Genomic DNA, 21,467 nt, shown 5'->3' with positions numbered 1-21,467 from the left:
ATTCTCTCTTTGACCAATTCATATAGGTCAGCTTGCAGAATAAGATGAACAAATGGCATATGATTCTAGGTATGTAGGAATTCCATAATCCAGATGAGAAAATCAGTCTTGCTATTTTCTACCCACACCACTTGAGAAAGAAAGATTCAGGGGCTACTCTTGTGCTGTTGGTTCACTGTTGCTTTGGGAGCTGAGAGCTTGGAGCTGAAGGAAAGGCTCAGAGCCTGCTCTGGGATCTCAGGGTGGGAGTGGGATAAAAGAGGGAGAAGAAGAGGTATCCCCCCAACCTGGGGCTCTCAGGTGGGCAAGGCTGGGTGGACTCACAGCAGTCTCTGATTAGCTGGTCAGATACTACTACAGTGAAGACTAAGGCAGATTTCTCTTTCTGTTTTTCTTGGTTTTGCCCAGGCAAGTGGAAATTCTACCCAGCTTCCTGTTAACTTTCAGTAGACAGTGGTCATAGTAAAAATTTCTCAGGTGCAGGACATCTCAGATACATGGGATTTCAAATAAGAATATTTGCATATTTGCTTTCCTATTCTTTGTTCTTACCCTTAAAAATTCCTTGGAATTTTAAAAAAGCAGTCCACATATATTATTCCTAATTTCTATTTTAAAGCATTCAATTTAGGGAATTAGGAGAGTTCTTTGTGGTTTGCCAAGATTTCCATACTTTGGGCCACAGCTTCCCTTAGTCAGGGGTTGGTGTTACTTGCCAGAGATAGCAAGGGAGTATCCTGTGGAACAGGAGTTTAATGATACACCTCCAGCAAGATTACCTCACTCAGGTAACTATGGCTATGTTAGCCCTCCAATACACAAAGTGGATATAACTTAAAGAGTAGGAGGAAGAATATTTAGCTAAATTACATCTATTTTTAAATTACCACCAATGTTGCTGACAAATTAATGGGATTTTTTTTTTTCACATATGGTTCTCTGTCTATTTAAATGATGTATTACTAAATGAGTTTGAAGATGAGTGTGTGACACATTGTAGCAGCTGCACTGCTACCACCTAGTGGACAATTAATGCAATTAATTATTCTTTGGCTTGACAACTTTCACAAACCGTTGTTACTTCAATGGATTCTCTTTATGAATAGAACACTGTTATAGATATTTTAGCACATCATGCCCTCCCTATATGGAGTCTCATTTTTCTTGAAGCCATATAGAAAGTAATAAGTTAAGAGTCTATGAAAGTAGACTACAGAAAGTCTATAGAAAGTAATGAGTTAATAGTCTATCATTTTTAAGTAAGAGATGCCCCCAAATCGTAACTTTAATACATCTCATTCTATTTTAAAATTTGAACTTGGCACAATACTTCCCAACACAGCATGTCCAATTCCAATCCCGGAAAACATCAAGTTCTGGAGTGATTTTTGCCACTTTCATTGGTCCAAGTGGTCCAGTCAGGGTCCCTGGTATCCTCTTGTCTCACTTCTGATCTGCTTTCCACACCCTAGCCTAGTTGGTGTTCCAAAAACACTGTAACCATGTCATTGATGACTTAATATCTTCAATGGATTTTCATTGTTCTTAGACCAGTGTCCCCAGTCCTTAACGTGACCTCTAAGCTCTGCCTGACATGGTTCCTACCACCCTCCCCAGCCTGTACACATGCTCCTCTTTCCTCAGCTCTCCAAATTTCACCCTCACTGGCTTTCTTCTTATACTTTTGGGATAGCCACAGGCCTGGAAGCGGTGCTCCCTTTGTCTAGCTAACTGTGACTTATTTCTCAGGTTACAGCAGTTTCTGAGGGAGGCTTCTCCCGTACATCAAGCAGGTAGACTTTTTGTATGTTCTTTTTGTGTAGTTCATCCAGCACTTATTTGATTAATGTAAATTAGATTACTAATTAATAAATTGTTAATTAATGAGTTAATTATTTGTGTAATGTCTGTCTTTCCAAAGGGCCTATACACCCATTAAGGGCAGAAATGTTATCTTTCTTTTTCATTGTTCCATCTTCAATTGCTTAGCAAAGTGCATGGCATGTAGTAGACAGCCGATAAAATAACTTTAATGAGCTGAGATGAAAGCTAGACCAAGAAAGATGGTGTCTTTTCATGTATGCCAGGTTTAACAGTCCTAAATTTCCCTTTACATTTCTTCTTAGCTCACAAGCCTCCCACTATAATCAGTGCATCTACACCCTGATGGTCTCAGCCAGCACCCCAGGATGTTAACTCCTATACAGCTGACCGGATCCTCACTGTGCACGGCTTGCTTAGTCATTCATTCACATCAGTGTTTCCCCAAAGAAGTAGACCATATGTCAAGTTTTCCAATAGTAATGATTCACTTTTATTATGATCAATACGAAAAGATCTACCTAGTTTAATAGACCCAGAAGCTTAAAAGAAAGATTGGGATCTGCAAAACATCCAGGCAAACCAAAATAAGAATTCAAGAAAGAAAAGAAATGAAAAATGAGAATTTTGAAACAAGGCCATCAGCTTTCTCAACTAGTACAGGTGTTCCAGGACGTAGCTGGCAACATACTTGATTGCCAGGAAGGTCTCCTCGCAGGTAGCCCGGATCTGGGATTCTGGAAGGAGAAAGCCATATCTGCCTGTATCTCGAAGTTCAAAGGTGAAGGAATATCTGATTCCTTGGTCATAAGCCCAGTCGTCAGAGCCCCCAGCAGCAGGATCTGAAATGTGCAAACAGCAGTGAAAAAAAACTTTAAATCTAGGAAGGAGCTTTAAAAAATTGCCAGTTTCTTTTTTCATTACAAATGTTTCACTGTGCAAAATATTTTGAGTAGGCCAATTTTCTAGTAAACTGGATCATAAATGTTATGGGGGCTGTTTTAAAAAATTACTCCAACCTTATTAAACGTATCACCACTTCACTTTGTAGAAATGATGTGTTTAATACTTCAGAAAGTACGTAATCTGTAATGCAAAATTCCCAGTGTGCTTGTATGCTATGGTAAACTACACTTTATATGTGAAAGGATGTGTATCTCTCAGGAAAATAAGGAAAGCCGTATGATGATTGGCAAGAGGAGAAAACTCTAAACCCGGCTGAAACTGTGCCAAACGATAAGATTGAAGAAGCTGAGGGCAGGGCTATGCCTTCATTTTCATATTTTTAGTGTTTATCTAGCATAGGGCCTGGTGTAGATAAGGTATATGTTATTAATTTATTCAATAACAATCATGTTGTCACTAACACATAGAATATGTACTAATTAATTCATTTGTTCATTTATTCACTCATCTGTTTTTTCAATCAACAATTGTATAGCCCCCACTGAACAGCAGGCTATGGGCTCAACTCTGAAGATGCCAGAACAAAGGAGAGATGTTGGCTCTGCCCTCCAAAGTCTTACAGTGTAATGGAAAAAGAAGCCTAGTTGAACTGAATAAAACATGCACCAAGTTCACCATATATAAATAGGTGGGCTATCTCTGCTAGAAACCCCTTAAGAAAACAGTATGCCTCATATGATTCAGAGCAGTTTTTTAAAAATAATAAAAATAAAGAAAATTGTATTTTGCATAAAGGCTTAAAATAAATCCCAACAACTCAGGACTGGAGCCTCTCCAACTGCACTGGAGGCCACTTGATGATGAGACTGGGTCTTTTGTCATGTGTGTGTTTCAATTTCTTTCCAACCTCAGGCAGAAAGAAACCATTTGAAGGCAAAGGAAGATATACGTAGAAATTGAAAATGAGGCCTGTGGAATGTGCCTTCCAGATAAATCTAAGCTGCAGCACCCACAGCTCTTGGGTCTAGCCCCTACCACTCTAGCCACTTGCTTGCATACACTGAGTGTCTAATTAGAGGGACTGGTGTCTACCTCTTGAAGGTGACTTGTGCCTCAGGTAGCCCTGGTACTTGTTTGTCGTCTGTTTAGCCAAAAAAACACTCTGTCTTTTTTTTTTTGAGATGGAGTTTTGCTCTCGTCGCCCAGGCTAGAGTGCAGTGGCAGGATCTCAGATCACTGCAACCTCCGCCTCCCAGGTTCAAACGATTCTCCTGCCTCAGCCTCCCGAGCAGCTGGGATTACAGGTGCCCGCCACCACGCCTGGCTAATTTTTTGTATTTTTAGTAGAGGTGGGGTTTCACCATGTTGGGCAGGCTGGTCTCGAGCTCCTGATCTCGGGATCTGCCTGCCTCGGCCTCCCAAAGTGCTGGGATTATAGGCATGAGCCACTGCACCCGGCTGAAAACACTCTGTCTTATATTTTCCTCCAGCAACAATCCTTTCAGATAAAACTTTTGTGTCATCATCTTGGGAAGTTAATTCTGATACTGTGGGGTTGGTTGGTCTTTGGGTGTGTTCTTTCCTTGTGCATCCTAATGTCACAGCACTTAGCACCTGTATCACAAAAGACTGCTTATTTTTGCTGCTTCCCTACTGCTAGTTCTTTAAAGATTGCCCTGATCTCCCTCCTTCCTTTTCTCTTTTCATCTTTTCTTCTCTCTATTCTTACTTTCTTGTTCTCTTAGTGCCTAGTAAGGCCCTGGCACATAGTAAGTGCTCAGTAGATGCTTACAGGGAGGAAATGTCTCTGTGGGTTGAAAAGGATATTTTTCTCCTCCTCCCTTTTTATTTTGAGATAGGGTCCTGCTCTGTCACCCGGGCTGGAGTGCAATGGTGCAATTATAGCTCACTGTAACCTAGAACTCCTGGGCTCAAGTGACTCTCCCGCTTCAGCCTCCTGAGTAGCTGGGATTACAGGTGTGCATGACCAGCTAATTTTTTAATTTTTTTTAGAGAAAAGTTTGCTATGTTGTCCAGGCTTTCCCTCCTTTTTTTTTTTTTGAACAGAAAACTGATTACATATTTTAGAAAAATTTGCTGTGAGGCAAAAGCCACATGCTTTAAACTATCAGAAAAGAAAGGCCCCAGGAACCTTTCGTTGGCTTTTTAGGCACATGGTTCTTTGCACAGTTCTGAAGCCAAGACTCACAGATTGTTGTAGCTCCCGGGCCATATGTGTACTTGGTGCCGTGCAGTGAGGCAAGTTCTTTCACAGTAGCTTTAGCCAGGGCATTCTGCAAAAGAAACAGGAATAAGTAAGGAAATAAATAAAAGCACACTGCCAAACAAATGCCCTGTACATTATTTTTAAGGCATTCAAAGCATGTAAGTAACAATTTGGATCGTATTATATGCTTATTCAGGACCCATTTTCATTTTTCTACTTAACCTAGTGATATGATCCAAGTAATTCTTGTGCAAGAATGTCTTCCCTAATACCCTCCCCAAGCATTCACTCTGAGCCTCTATTTATCTTGTCTTGTAAGAGTTTGTAACAGAAAAGCAGGAGACAAGGAAGTCTTTATGGTTGTGCAAAGAAGTTGTTTACCTGTTTGCAGGCAAACAAACCAAAACACACGCATGCAAAAACGCAAAGAAAACAAAGCAAAAAAAAAAAAAAAAAAAAAACACTTGGCAATGTGGCAGTTTATAAAGCCAGATTAAGTTACAATAGGGTTGTGTGAGTTAGGGCAGGAGCATTAGAAACTGCACATAGGAATGGCTAGTCAATGCAACATTCAGTGCCAGCATGAAAATGCTTAGGAATTGGCAGTTCCAAGGATGAGTGGTAGCTCCAGCTTGGAAATTTTTTAGACTAAAAAGTTAGAGAATATTCATTCTATTTCAAAATGCAGAACATTTGAATTTCAGAATTAAAAAAAATTGTTAGGTATTAACTTACGTGTAATCTTTTTTCTTAGAAGCATCATCACCTTCTCATAAGAACCATTGCCCTCCAGTTCCCTGCACCCCACTCCTAGGGAAAGGCTCTCTGCGCTCAGAAACTCTGTGGTAAAACTCCACTGACATACTGCCTATTTAAATAAAACACTTGAGAAGCAAGGCCTGGCTCAGCTGTCTGGGGAATACAGATTTGAAAAACAAATTATTTACTGCAGGAGAATTAGCCATAATTCATTCCGGTTATGAAACCGGCTATATTTCATACTTTGGCATTATAATTACTTCTTCTACATATGCCTGGAAAACTGTGAGGTTGGTGATGAAATCAGAATAATATGATTTTTACAAAGTAGGAATTTTCCTTTCCTTATTCTAATGTTGAAACTAGTTTAGTAGAATCTTATGTCAAACTGATGAGGGCGTGGCCGTAAGACTTCAAGGATTCCAATTCCTATAGCATTAATACTTTATCAGCCAGGTGGTAAATTAGAAAACTTAAAAAGAGTTATTAAATGTAACTCATTATTTTCTGTTCTGGTCCACTGAAATGATGCAATCAGCTTCCTGGAACTAACATTATTCTCAGAGTTTTGGGTCGGTACTTGCAAATTTTAGGGTTCCATTTTCCTATTTCTAAACTGATAAACTAAGACATGCTTTCTCTAACTGCATGAAATCTTTACTGTTGTGGCCTAAATATATTGCTCCTCTTGTTTAATCTTATTGTAACGAAGACACTAGATTTAGATTTTTTTAACCCTTTGTTTAAACCCTTAGGTTCCACTGCCAATTGAAACCAGAACCAGTTAAACATTACATAATGCTCATAATAGATTTAAAACCATCTTCTAGAGATGTGAAACATGGTGAGGCAATAGTTCTTTTTGTAGGTAAACATGATATTTTCTACCATTCTACAATTTCTTTATCTTGCCATTTATCAAAGGAAATCTCCAGTTAGTTATTTATCTGAAAGGCAGAACCTCTGATCTTAAAGAATTCTTATTCCTTCCCTGGTTGCCTTCTTCAGGCTTTACTTCAATTTTTCCTTAAGCCTTGAATTATTATTTTTAGTTAGTAGAAATATGATTCTTCAATATTAGTTCCAAACATATAAAGTTACGAAGACTAGAGAAGATTTAATAGTCATTGTCATTATCTATTGGACTCGTGTGTTGATTGATTGTCTTTCAAGTCTCTCAATATATTTACTGGTGCAATGTAGTAATACAGTTTTCAGACAAAACCAAAGGGGGCTACTTGTGATCTGTTATCTCTTTTGACTTATTATATCAATTTAGACATGATTTCCATTAAGGCCACAGAAAAATGTTTAGTTGTCCTTTCCTCAAACCACACTCTGGGCATGTGAAGTGACATCCAAGTTCTCTCTACACCGTCATCGGCATCTTTTGGCAACAGTTGCTCTATTTTTTTTTTGATGCTGAAGCAATATCTGAGGTTGATGTGAGCTTAAAAAGGTTGTTATTTTATTCCTGTCACAGGTGCACACTGGAGGAACATTTAGTTTATGCCTAAGTTCTCAGCTCTTGTCCTCAGTTGCTCTCTCATTTTGATATCCACCTCATCTCTCATCTTCTGAAGATCACCTCATCACCACGTCTTCGATGGCTCTATCATGTCAAACCTCTTTTGGCAAAAACAGTTGTTGCAAACCAGGTCCGGCCTTGTCTCTCAGGCTACATTATTTGTTGTGCATTCCCGTGTTCCTTCTGAGGTAGATTTTCCTGAATTACTTCCCTGTACACCCTTTCCTGCTTCTCCTGACCTCCATGACTGTGGGTACCCTTTTCTCTTCACTGGAATCCTCTTTCTCTCTTTACTAATATGGATAATTGCTATTGTTTTTCCAGATTCAGTTTTAGTGTTATCTTCTTTGTGAAGCTGCCTCTACTCTCTTAGGAAGCATTGAGCCCCTCTCCTTTTTGGGGGCCCACACTTTTATCAGGGTTCACTGTATGCTATAATCAGTTGTTTTTGCATCTATTTCCTCACCAGGTGAGCTCCTTGAAGGAAGGAATTGTTGGCTATTCATTTTGTATCCTCAGCAGATTGCACAGCACCTAGCACATGATTAGTTGACTGAGTCTAACACTCTGGCTTAGGGGCATTATGAATAATCAAGATTTGGGTGGAGGTACAGAGTGCTGAGCTTTGCAGAGGCTGAACCCACCTGAGTGGAGATTGGGGATGCTTCTGGGGGAGGGCAGTGGTACCATTTATTGATGGTTGATAGGATGCCACATTTAGACATTGACATCTTCTGTGCATTTTACTTATTTCTATTAATTAAAAAAAAAAGTCTATGAATCCTTTCTCTTAGCCCCTCCAAGGCCAAAAGACAAAAAAAGTCAGAACAGACATTAATCAAGTAAAATATCATATTTTAAATTCCAATTATCTTAACAAAAATCCCTGGAATCAGTGTGGGTCTTTTCTTTAGAAGAGTTCAAATAATTTCACAAATGTTACTCATTTATCTTCTCAACATTATCTGTCCATATTTCACCAACACAGAATTTTCTAGCAGAATGGAATTCCACCTGGGGCAGCAAGCTCAGTGGGAATGTTCCAATCAACCCAGATGACTGACCCCTGCTAAGAATGGTAGAGAGAAAGGTAATTCTTGCATTTGCTACAATTTAGAGTGGTAACTCTTTTCCCTTCATGTTTCTGTAAAAAGAGATGAGGGCAGATGATGGAAGAACCAAGAAGCAACGACACAGCAGAGAACTCGGTCCATATCTTGAAACTCCAATTAGTGATGATTTCTATAAAACTTGCCTTTTGAGGGACATCTTACATTGTTTCTCAGTGGATTCAAAATCAGAACTAACATTTACATAAAAACTTAAGCTTTACAAAGAGCTCTTGATAAGAGCTAGATATTTTTATCCCCATTTTACAGATAAAAGAACTAACACTCACAGAGGATAAAAGAACTTGCTCAAGGGCACACAGCCCCATAAGTGGCTGACTTGAGCTAGGTTCTTCTTTCTTTAAATCCTCTGCTCTTTTTCACTTCTCCTTGTGGCCTTGGAATACTTCAAAAGAAGTGTTGCTGGAGCTGGTTTTACCAATTGTAAAGAACAGAAGGAAGCTAAATATAAACCAGCCTGAGAGAAAACTTTGCTTTCAGTCAAGGCCAAACATGGTCAGCCTTTATTAATCCTTAGCTATGAATTTTCACATCTTATGCATGTTCTCTTTTGTCATCTGTTTCCTCAAAATGAGGCCTTGGTCCTAGAGCAAAAGACAGAGAGAGTCTAAAATGTCACATCTAGCTCGTAGCCCAAGAGACAAAGTAAAAGCTTAGTGTAATGTTTCTCCAGGCATTGAGTTCCAAGGACCTGGTGAGATGAATAAGGAGAGGATATTCTTTTCCACTGACCTGCATTCCCATCGAATATATGATAAAGAAACTCCCCTTTCGTGACTGTGCACATAGCCCTTGTTCCAATCTCTTGTACACAGCCAGCATCATGACAGGGGGCTGCCTCTTCTAATCTTCCAGTGACCCATTATTACAGCATAAGAAAACAAAAGCTCCAAACCAACTATAAGGTATAAAACAATTTAAAGAAAATTTTCTGTAGAACTTTGTTTCTAACTGAAAGTTCTGAGTTTAGCCATCCCTATGGGTGAATATTTGTGATAAGAGAAACATCAAAATAATCCTTAACTGCAGTTTCCTTCCTTCTGTCCTGCGATAATGGGTAAATTACACCAAGGGACCAATAAGAAACTTAACTTTTATAATTTTGGTGCAAAAGAAGAAGCCCTTACGGTCTATAAGCAGGAACCAAGGAGAAAGCATTTGAGACCTGAAAAAGCAAATATGTTTTGAGAAAAAGGAGGCCCTGAGATTAGAGAAGGGCAAGGAGTTAGGAAAAAGTTTGGCTTAGGAGAACCAGGCCTGCCGATTTCCACAGAGCCCACGGGGAGTGTGGGAACGCTTTCACTGATGAAAACCAAACTTTTTATTTGGCTGATCTGCATACATATTTTTAAGCTCTTTGAAATTCAAGGGAAATGTGAAGTGTGAGTCAGCTGAAATTGCAAAGTCTAGAGAATGTATTTATTTATTTACCTATTTATTTATTTTTCTGGTGGAAGTGGAGTTTCTCCCAAATAAATAAATACTGTCTAATGGGGGATTTGTAGGTTCTCTTGCACTTGTAATTTGCAGAACATTGTAAAGTTTTGTGAAGAAAGTATAAGATCCTGTGAAAGGCGAGAGCCTTTGTCCAGGAATGTGACTTTGTTCTTATATTTATTTAAAGCAAGTTTCTCAACCTTGGCACTCTTGACGTTTTGGGCTGGATAATTTGTTGGGGATGGGAGGGCTGTTCTGTGCATTGTAGGATGTTTATCAGCATCCCTTGGCCTCTACTCACTAGATGCCAGTAGAGCTCGACAGTTATGACAACCAAAGATGTCTCCCAAACATTGCCAAATGTCATCTGGGGGTGGGAGTGGGAGTGGGGGGCAAAATTAGTTGAAATGGAAGTCATATAAAATATTTAGTTATGGTAAACTAGAATTTATTTTAGGAAAAAGATTAAAAAGAAAGACAACTGATTTTAAAGGTGCTATGAGAATGCCTTTTTCTCGTTGATGACATTACAGCTATCTTTTAAACACCTCTGCTAGGTCACTGTTGCTAAAACATCACTTTATTCCCAGAACGTTCAGGCTTAGCAAAAAATACAGACTGACCAGTTAAATTTAAATTTCAGAGGAACAATAATTTTTCAGTATAAGTCTGTCCCATGAAATATTTGGACATGGTTACAATAAAAATTGTTTGTTGTTTGAATTCCAGATTCTACTGGAAGTCCTGTAATGGACCTGCAATCCTATTTTCCAGGTCCCTGGCTCCAGGGCCCACTGTGACACAGGATTCATCCTGGCATTCAAGTGCCTACACAACCTGGTTACCTCATTGATTGGCCCTTGCCCCGACTCTTCCCTAAGGAGAACACTCGATACAGGATGACCCTCTTCTACTTTCTTCCTCAACTTCATCTTTCAGTTTCTCCATTGTTCATTTGTTGGCTCTTTTCTCTGCCTAAAACACCCTATTCCTTTCTCTGCCACTCAAATCCTGCCCAGACTTCAAAGCTCAGAACAAATTGCATCCCCTCTCTATAATCTTCACTGAGCAGCTTCAGCAAACATTGCTATTTTCCTTTCCTGAATTCTTACTATTGCACTAACTGGAAACTCCCAATTCTGTTCTCCTTTTGTATGGTTTCTGGTACCCAAGTCTTATCATTTCAGTAGGATTGTAAATTCTCAGTGGCAGGAAACATACTTTATAATGAACACTTAATAGGTGCTCAATGAAATTTCTTTCTTTCTCTTTTTCTTTCTTTCTTTCTTTCTTTTTTTCTCTCTTTCTCTTTCTTTTTTTTTTTTTTTTTTTTTTGAGACAGGGTCTTGCTCTGTCACCCAGGCTGGAGTGCAGTGGCATGATCTTGGCTCACTGCAACCTCTGCCTCCTGGGTTCAAATGGATTCTCATGCCTCAGCCTCCCGAGGAGCTGGGACTACAGGCGTGTGCCACCACATCCAGCCAAATTTTTGTATTTTTAGTAGGGAAGAGGTTTCACCATGTTGGCCAGGCTGGTCTCAAACTCCTGACCATAGTGATCCTCCTGCCTCGGCCTCCCAAAGAGCTGGGATTACAGGCATGAGCCACCAGGCTTGGCCATGAAATTTTCGATGATTGATAAGCCATGTACTGAGCAAGCCTGGTAGGAGAATTTTATCAGGCCAAGAAGTCACTTAAAGAGCATAATGTTGAATAAATGACTAGTTTATTAAATGAATTCTGAGTTTGTCATTTAAAATTTTTGTCTTTTAAATGAGAGTATAAAGTTGGAGACAATTCCTGCAGCAGATGTTTTGTGCCTAAAGCCCTGTTCACCTAAGCCTGCCTGGAAGCAGAATTGTGGCTTGCTACTCTTGCTATTAGGCAGGGACATGGTACAGCTGTGATGAGTGATGTGCATGGGTGTGTGCATGGCCCTGCAACTGTCTGCCTTCTAATCACAATATTTCTTCCCTCTGATTTTTACGTTTATCTTTAGTTATAATCTTGCATTATACTCAAATTCTTGAGGAGAGCAGTGGACTTCTATCTTAGTAATGCCTTAATTAAAACTTCAATTAAGACGGGCGCGGTGGCTCCCAGCACTTCGGGAGGCTGAGGCAGGCGGATCACAAGGTCAGGAGATCGAGACCACCCTGGCTAACACGGTGAAACCCCATCTCTACTAAAAATACAAAAAAATTAGCCGGGTGTGGTGGCAGGTGCCTGTAGTCCCAGCTACTCGGGAGGCTGAGGCAGGAGAATGGCATGAACCCGGGAGGTGGAGCTTGCAGTGAGCCGAGATTGCACCACTGCACTCCAGCCTGGGTGATAGAGCGAGACTCCGTCTCAAAAACAAACAGACAAACAAACAAACAAACAAAAAAAACTTCAATTAAGAGGCAGTGACTGAGTTGCCACTGGACTGGAAGGTGTTAGAATTTGGAAGTAGCTTTCTATCTTTTGTTCACATTTAATAATTTTTCAGAAAGTCTGTCATATTTCTTCTTCTGGTTACTGTTATCTTTTTCCTCGTTAATGAATATATATCTCTCAAAAGAATGGGCCAGAATCATAAAGACTAGGCCATGAGAAGTTAGTCATCTTAGCTAACCAGAGTACATCTTTATTAATGTCCAGAGGCAGAGGTAATTATGATGTACTGTGTGGGATTAAAGACTTTCTGATGAATGTTATTCTGCAAAGCAGTTATATGGGGTACCACCATAGCATGTGGCCACTTAAATATGTGTCTGTGTGTCTTTGGAAATTGAGGCAGCCTAGAAGATTCCTCAGGAGCCAGTAGCCTTAGACCCAGGGCTACCCTGACTACTAGTGTTGGCTTCGCCAAGCATTCCATGCCTCAGCTGGAAAATGAGAAACAGACCAGAGAATTTCTAAGACTTTTCTAGGCATAACATTCTGTGCTTCTAATGCAGAGAAATGGTGCAAGACACATGCCCTGGATTGGCACCTTTGTGTAGTGCGCTCTGCTTTCCATTTTGTTAATCTGTGGAGAGGGACAAGATACTTGTTGGCTGGATATTCTTCTGGCTTCCCATTTTTCACTTTGAAGTTGTATTATTATTATTATTAACAGTGTCATGTAGACATCTTTGCAGGGGAGGTGCACCAAAGATTGGGAGCTTCTTCCTGCCCAATAAGTGCAGCCATATGGCTAGGTTTGAGAGCCTTTTCTCCCAGTTTTAATTTCTCTGACAATAACAAGGTCACAGAATTCAATATTTCATTGTCCTTTAGAATTTTGGAAATCTAAATTCATTGTTTTTCTTTTAAGTCTCAAAACTTCCTTTGACGGTAGTGGCAACTTTATATTAAAGAGGTCTGGCCGGGCGCGGTGGCTCACGCCTGTAATCCCAGCACTTTGGGAGGCCGAGGCGGGTGGATCATGAGGTCAGGAGATCGAGACCATCCTGGCTAACAAGGTGAAACCCCGTCTCTACTAAAAATACAAAAAATTAGCCGGGCGCGGTGGTGGGTGCCTGTAGTCCCAGCTACTCGGGAGGCTGAGGCAGGAGAATGGCTTGAACCCGGGAAGCGAGCTTGCAGTGAGCCGAGATTGCGCCACTGCAGTCCGCAGTCCGGCCTGGGCGACAGAGCGAGACTCCGTCTCAAAAAAAAAAAAAAAAAAAAAAAAGAGGTCTACACTGAGAGACTGGACAGTTTATGAGGCCATTAGAAGCTCAGAGTGCACTTTGTATTCTTGCTTTAAACAATATAGTATGAGTAAAAGCAGTTTGCAAATGGGAAAGCATTATATGTGTAAGATATTCTTGTTATTCCATCTACTTTCTACTGCTCTGCTAAACATATCTTAGAGAAACATTGTAGTCTTCTCTGCAATCCATATAATACTTTTCCTGTTCTTTACTTCATTGGTCTTTTGCATTCTTATCTCTGCCTTTCTTTCTTCTGAAGGTTGTCTCATGATATGAGCAATTATTAGGCAAGCTACATGTAAAATCATTCAGAAATGAAGGCACATACATTTTTATCATGACTCAGATATCAAAGGACTGCTGTTTATAGGATGTCCTAAGTTTGGGCTGAAAATGCTAACATAAGCACAAAATAATTTCCTTTAGTCTAGTCTTATTCTCCTTGAAACATATATATTTTTTTGCTATAAATAAAATAATAATTTTATAGGTATAAAGAAAAATAGAAATCTCTTGTACACCAATGACTTGGCAGAACGCTGTAAGTCCTCATTGTTTCCTTTAAATTTTAATGTGGTATGATGCAAGAAATCATGTTCCTAATGTTTTACTACCTTTTGTTTTCTGCAGCAGAGTCACATTTCTCTATGTAAGAATTAATATGGAGGCACTAGATTTGGGTGCAAAATTAACTTTTCTAGACCAAGACATTTTTTTCCCCTTGAAATCCTCATTGTAAATAAAAACTGTAAAACTGTTAATACTGTTATTTTTGAGAGACTCATATTCTTTTTTGTCTATACATATATTTGTAATTGCACTATAGTTAATGAGCTTGTTTTAGCAAAATGTGCTCTGGAAGTAAGTAAACTAGAATTCTACAATATAAGAAAAAGTTGGAAGGATCTCCAGCTACTCAAAATATTAAAGTTGCTTTGGCGTGCTAAACTAAATTCAGACACCAAATGAATCAGATAATCAAATAACAGTCACCTTAAGTAGCATGCCACTTACTAGTGGCATTTAAATATTTCTTTTAAGATACTAGAGAAAAGCTTAATCAATAGAGAAAATTATTGGAAATTAAAAATAACTTTTAAATCAATGAGTATGATACATCAAATTAAATTTTTGCATTTTAGTTACCTGTCTTGTACTCTGGTAAAGATAAAAGTGGCATGTATTTTTATTTGAACTTTTTAGTTTTGTATGTGTAGAAACAAACATCCAAGATAAGATTATTTTGTGGCTTGTGCTTTTTCTCCTTTTGAGAATAGATTATGAACATTTTACTTCGGTAGAATTCTACTTACTCTACTTCTTTGGCAATTAGAATTTAACAATTTTGGAGGACAGGATTTTGAATAGTATCTCTTTTACTATTACCTCTCCTTGACTTTAAACAAAGAAGTGACTCTTAGGGAAGAGTATCAGTGACTCATGTTCTGTTGGAACATTTTTACACCATTTGGCACACATGTGAATTGGCCCATTAAACTTGCTAACTCTGAGGCTTGGTTCTTTTACTGGAGAAAATTTCCTTAGGAAGTAGCAAAAATTATTCATAATATTCTAAAGGCAGGACTTACTTGTCTTTTTTTTTTTTTTTTTTTTTTTTAAGAATGATTTGGAGACTTTTAGAGTAGCCCAGGTTCTGGTTGTTATTGTATACAACTAGTGGCAACAAAGCTGTCTCATCACTAAAAGGGCTTAAACTTATTCCTCCAATAAGAAAATGTATTGAATAAGAAAACTTTGGTAGCTCAGCTTCCAGGAACACTTTAAACTTTATTCTTTAGTGTTAGTCTTTTAGTAGTTATGTCTAAAACTAGTTGATATTGAAGCAAACTGGATATATATATGTTATTGCTACCCTTAATGTGTTTTGTAATTTTTTTATTTTAATTAACTCATTAGTATGTAGTTATGACTTTGACTTTTTCTCTTCTGATATGGCACAACTTAAATATATTTACATGAGTTATACAAACTACATACCCCCACCTCCTCTTTTCTGGTGGCCAGAAATTTTGGACAGAAATGAGAGCCAACCACACCCATCTCTGGGAGAGCAATACTGTGAGCACCCATTGGGAACACATACAGACCAAGCTTAAGTGAAAAACTGAAATGCTTGGCGGTGCTAACATATATATATATATATATATATATATATATATATATATATATATACACACGCACACACACATATATATGTGTATATATATATATATGTATATATATATATATATATTTTTGGCCATGGATGGGGAAAAATGAAAAGCTTTTTGAAAAATTGTATTGTTTTTTAAAGAAAAGGGCCCATCCAACTATTAGCTATCAATTTTCTAGGAGACTGGGTTATTTTTCTGATTTGTTCTCAAAATATTTACGGCATTACATATTTTATTTGGTCTCCGAAAGACTGAATCTGAAAGTATAAAACAACAATTTTCAGTTTTAAAGTTACTAGGTCTTCAAATTTATGCATTTAGGTAAGCCAAATATCCATGTCATTGTCTAAATGGAATACATTTTTTTTTTTGGCATAACTCAAATGCTTTAAATCTTATATTTGCTCTTTTAGTTTATTGGTGCCAATTTCTGGCAGCCAGATGTTTCATAAATTAAAGAAATATTGTTTGAAAGGTTCAAACATGCTTATTTAAAAAATTATTCATTGACATGTGATATTTCTATGAGAAAACTCATTATTTAGCTGCTCAAGTGATTATGTCTTGATTGTTCAATAAGATTGCTAGCTTTTTTTGATGTCAGAGATTCTTACATTTCTTTGCTTTATTCCCTGTATGTGGTAAAGACTCATTCACATTATTTGTTCATTGATTGATTTACTTTTGAGTCTCACCCAATCAAAAAGTGAAATAAACAATTTTAGTATTTAATGACTAAACTTGATATCACCCAAATGTGACAAATTCCTAATGACATCTGCTGTGCTCTGCTATGCTCTGGATCTGTGTCAAATTCAGCTCAGGGCAGCTTCACAAAACTGACTGAAAAAAAAATATGTATGTGATCAAGCAACTTTGTTGATTATCTCATATGCATCTGAAATCATCATGTAAGTCAGCATTGTGGTGAAGCCAGAGGAAATGGAACTATTGTCATTTTGAAGATTAGTCAATAAATCGCATGTGGGGAACAATTTCCTGCGTGAAAATTGTATTTCTTTTAGCCAACTCCAGATTCCTTATAAATCTGTAATAAGTTTTTCAATTCTACTACCAAAAAAATCAATAAAGGGACTTCCAGAAAGTGTTCTTATAATGATTTTTTTTTCAGGATTAGAATTTAAAAAATCTCAATAGTAAAATGTCATACCTACTACTTTGCTACTTACCAACTCAGCATTGTTCTCACCGAGTTTGTAAGCATATGAGTAAGGGTAGATCATCATTTGGGAGTACGAGTGGATTGTCAGATATGCCTTGATGGAAGAGAGTTTGTTGCGGATGAAATCAGCCAGGGCCTTGGTCTCCTTTTCAGACTCTGCGGCAGGTCCACAGTAAGTTTCATCACAGGGGTTTCGAGAGGCTCCAATTTCTGGAAAAACATATGATGTTAATGGCAAGGATCACCTAGTGAAGTTCTTGTGGGGATGTTTTAAACTTTCAAATTAGGGAGTTGTTTTCATAGGAGTCCTTATCAAGGAGTCCTTAAAGTTGTCCCTATTATGTATATATTATATAGTAAAATATCCATTTAATCACAGGATTAGGATGGTATGTTTTTAAGCTAACCTGGTAAGAAGTTGCATATGGAATCACCAATGTGTCTCCGTGTAGTATTACACAATGATATCAATATAGTGCAAGAAAATTAATAAGTAAGGGACAAACTAATATCCATGAAAAAATTATTACTATGATCATTCTTAATTGCATTACGATTTTATGTAAATAATTATTTATTTAATAGCTGTCTCCCCCTCTAGACTATACATTCCATGAGTAGTAGGATTATGTCTGGTTTGTTCAGCCTTATATTTTCAGCATCTAGCACAGCTGGGAACGCAACAGAGTTCTCAATATGTTTTGGTCAAATGAATTAAACTGGTTTTTTTTTTTTTGGTGCTTTTAGAAGGTTAGAACTTTAAAATATAAAACTTGCTTTTTTTATTTTAGATACTGTTGTGTTTTCATATTTTTCCTCTTATGTTTTTCAATGGATACATGCAAAATGGCTAGCCAGATACTTACCACACCAACCAGCATCAAAATTTCTGTTGGGGTCTGTGCCAATGCAGCTAGATCCAGTATGGGTGGAGCGAGTCTTTCTCCAAAATCGGCTCTGAAAGTGGACTACATAGTTAGGACAAATATAATAGAGAGGCGTTGGTTTTAATTTCATCAGCCTCTCTCAGTATTGGTGCATATACCTTGGTCCAGGTGTAGATGTAGCCATCAATATTGAGCACAGGCAGGACATAAAAGTCTAACTTGTCGAGAAGCTCTGTCACTTGGATCTCACGTCCATAGGTACGAACAGCCTGTATGTGAATTATGAAGAGGAATTTCATGGAAAAATGGAATTATGATGCTGTTAAAATTTACAAAGACTGTTGAATGTTAACTTTGGTAATAAGAGCAGCATTTCCTATTGAGGTGGACAATATTAATATTTAAAAAGCAATCAGCAAATTACTACCAATACTTGATATTTTTATTTATAATTGTTATTTCTAATTCTTCTCTGCTTCCAGGATATTTCTATTGCATCCTTCTTATTTTAACTTTTTACTTTAATGAGAAACTTATTTAATTAAAGACTTCTAAAGAACATATATACTCATTTCTTTTAAGATAACAACTACAATAGCTTTTTACAAAGTTAGTAGGGTATAAGTGTAAGTAAGGTATAGAACTTACTAGTTCTAGTAAGTAAGACGTGTCTGTGGATAGCTGTGCATGTTCCTAATAATGTCATTTAGAAATGTATTTCTTTTCTATAAAACCTCCTGTAGATGATCTCACTAGAGGGAATGTCCAATATAACAAGGTAATGAGAATGCCTCTCAAAATAAGCTCACACTCATGGATTTTGGGGAGGCTCTCACCAACACTCCAAGCTGCATAGTGATGGGAGTTTCCTTTGTTGTCTTTCTCAAGAAGGGACAATCCTGTTGTCCCTGTTAAATAATGTAGATACTTATCTATGAATGAGGGACATCATGCCCATTTAATATGTTCTCGTAGTCACAGTCCCTCTGCTCCAGCATCATATTAAACTTAAATTCAACCCTTCCCTAGGCTTGCTTGAATAAACTTTAAAGTAGATTAGACTTCTATGTGTGAACAGTTTTTATATACTGTTTGTAATTATATATATAAATTAATTACAATATTACATGATAAAGCATGTGCTTTTTGGGTTGGAGGAGCTATGCAATCATGTTCTTTTAATGGTCTACAAATTGGAAAAATAGTAAAATTTAATTCTAACATCCAGTTATCCTCTTCTGAAAGGCAGATGGTGAGCTACATAGTGAAGCTAAGTGATGCCAATCTGATACATAATGTCTAGAAACCAAGACTACATAACAAATATGTACGGAAGTGCTTCACACAAAAATTATGTTGTATATAATAATATTATTATATATTTAAAGCACTTCAATGTTTTCAACTTTTAAATTTGAAATAATTTTAGACGTACAGAAGAATTGCAAAAGTAGTTCCCACATACCCGTCATCCAGCTTCCTGAATGTTACCATCTTACACAACCATGGTATAATTATTAAAGTGAATAAATTAGCATGGATACAATACTATAAACTAAACTGTAGACTTTATTCAGATTTCACAAGTTTATCCACTAATGTCCTTTTTCCATTCTAGGTTACAATCTAGGATCCTACATTGCCTTTATTTGTCACGTCTCCGTAGTCTTCTCTGATCTGTGACAGGTCTTCAGTCTTTTTGTGTTTTATGACTTTAACACTGTTGAAGAGTGCTGGTCAGTTTATTTTGCAGAATGTCCCTTACTTTGAGTTTGTCTAAATTATTTTTCAAAATTAAATTTTGTTTATGATTAAAGGGAGGTCATTTATTTTAAGGAAGAATATCACAAAGGTGATATGTCTTTTCACAGCATATCTGAAGCTACGTTATATTGATATGTCTTATTTATTATTGGTGATGTTAACCTTGATCACTTAGTTAAGGTAGTTCCTTCTGCTAGGTTTATCCACTCTAAGTTTTCCCTTTATAATTAATACTTTTTGCGAGGAGATAACTTTTAGACTCTGTAAATATCCTGTTTCTCCCTAAACTTTTACCCACTAATTTTACATCCATCTGTGGATTTGCCTGACATGATTATTGCTGTGATGTTCTAGTGATGATTTTATGTTTTGCTCATTCTTTGTACATATATTAGTTGTAATTCTTCTGCAAGAAGGAGTTGTTCTTTGCCTCTCTTTTATTTATTGCATCATCTATGCATATCAGTATAGACTCATGCATATTTTAAAACTTGTTTTTAAAAGGCCTTTACATTCATCTTATTATTAGAATGATAAGGAATGAAAAACAGTGTCATTTAGAGTAAGGACTACTATGCACTCTTTTCTTTTAATCTGAAGTGTACAATGATTATTAGCCAAGAGATAATGATCAAATTGGTTTAACCACAACCATTAGCTTTTACATGACCAATCACTATGCTAGTTGTTGGACTCTCTACCAAATGTGGGTGAGAAAGTTCAGATGAGTGAAATTCAAATAAATACAATTTTTTTTTTTAAAGAGATGAGGTTCCACCGTGTTGCCCAGGCTGGTCTCCAATTCCTGGGCCCAAGCAATTCACCTGTTTTGGCCTCCCAAAGTGCTAGGATTATAGGCATGAGCCACTGCACCTGGCCCATAAATAGAATTTTCTGCCTTATAAAGGTCTGTTGGTGGAAGTTGAAACTAATTTCCAAAATTGGGCACTTGTAATTGTGTATTTTTTTCTGTGTTATTATTCTCTCTAGGTTTTAAGGAATTAATTGAAAATTAAAACATACATTTCTCTTTGCCAAAAACCACTCTACACACTGACCTCTCTTACAAACCACTGGCAGAATGCAGGAGAAATCCACTCTCTGGCATGGAAACCACAGTCCATGAAAATGGCAGGCTTATTTTGTCCAGCTTTGCCAACCTATTGCAAACAAAAGGAAAAGGGAAACCATGATTCATCATAGGACATTCAGGGGTTAACCTCCACTACCCATCTGGGCTTGAGACTCAACAAGTGAAACCCGACAGCAGCAAGAGCTGGATCCCATGATTAAATTAAAATATAATACTAACACAGTATGTTCTCGCTTCTAGACTCACAATGTTTGAGCTGAAAGCTTATATGGCTGTTTATTATTTTTATTAAGCTTGACAAGCTCATATTTTCAGATGATGCTTGATTACCCTGCTTAATTGTACTCATGTGGAGGTTATTTTCAGCTGCTGTTATTAGGTGACATGACCAAGACAACTGGATGAGTAATTAGAAGTAATCATGATTGTCGCTAATCTTGTAAGAATTTTTACTACTCTCTCACTTATTCCCTGTCTTTTTATTTCCTTCATTAGAATTACGTGACAAAAATGGTGTTAGAAAATGACAGAAACAAATTGTTGATGTGCTTTGTAATGTTGTCTGATAGACATGAAGTTTATGAACCTCTTTAAAAATGGATTTGCAAACCACAGCTGGGAAAGAAGAATTTCATCAAGGTAGATAATCATTTACGTTGCTTACAAGAATGTGGTTAAATTTATAGGTCTTCTCTTATTTTATTGCATTTTTCCTTTTGAATAAATCAAAATAATGATTTAAAAATCCACATATGATAAAAGAAGCTGGGGAATCTGGTTCCCTCGGGGATGTAGGCAGGAAAGAGTTATAACAATGTTTGGGATAAGCGTGTCTGTGAAACAGATGTTCATGTGTTAGAATTCATTGATTTAAAGCCC

At 37.4% G+C, this 21,467-nt stretch overlaps 1 protein-coding gene across 1 annotated transcript in view; it reads right to left on the bottom strand.

The window, feature by feature from the left end:
- Positions 1-2,290: 2,290 nt before the first annotated feature.
- CPB1 (carboxypeptidase B1) overlaps positions 2,291-21,467 on the bottom strand; it is a 32,377-nt gene continuing 13,200 nt past the window's right edge. The window contains exons 6-11 of the mRNA NM_001871.3: positions 20,554-20,655; positions 17,890-18,000; positions 17,711-17,801; positions 16,852-17,054; positions 4,937-5,021; positions 2,291-2,663 (exon numbers count right to left, since the gene is read on the bottom strand). Of these exons, the coding sequence (NP_001862.2) occupies positions 2,476-2,663; positions 4,937-5,021; positions 16,852-17,054; positions 17,711-17,801; positions 17,890-18,000; positions 20,554-20,655 (780 nt within the window). The 3' untranslated portion in view covers positions 2,291-2,475. The remainder of the gene's footprint in view (positions 2,664-4,936; positions 5,022-16,851; positions 17,055-17,710; positions 17,802-17,889; positions 18,001-20,553; positions 20,656-21,467) is intronic.

Source organism: Homo sapiens, chromosome 3 (assembly GCF_000001405.40).
Source record: "Homo sapiens chromosome 3, GRCh38.p14 Primary Assembly".
Lineage (NCBI taxonomy): Eukaryota > Metazoa > Chordata > Mammalia > Primates > Hominidae > Homo > Homo sapiens.
Note: the sequence above shows the minus strand (reverse complement) of the source record. Positions and strands in the feature narration are given on the sequence as shown.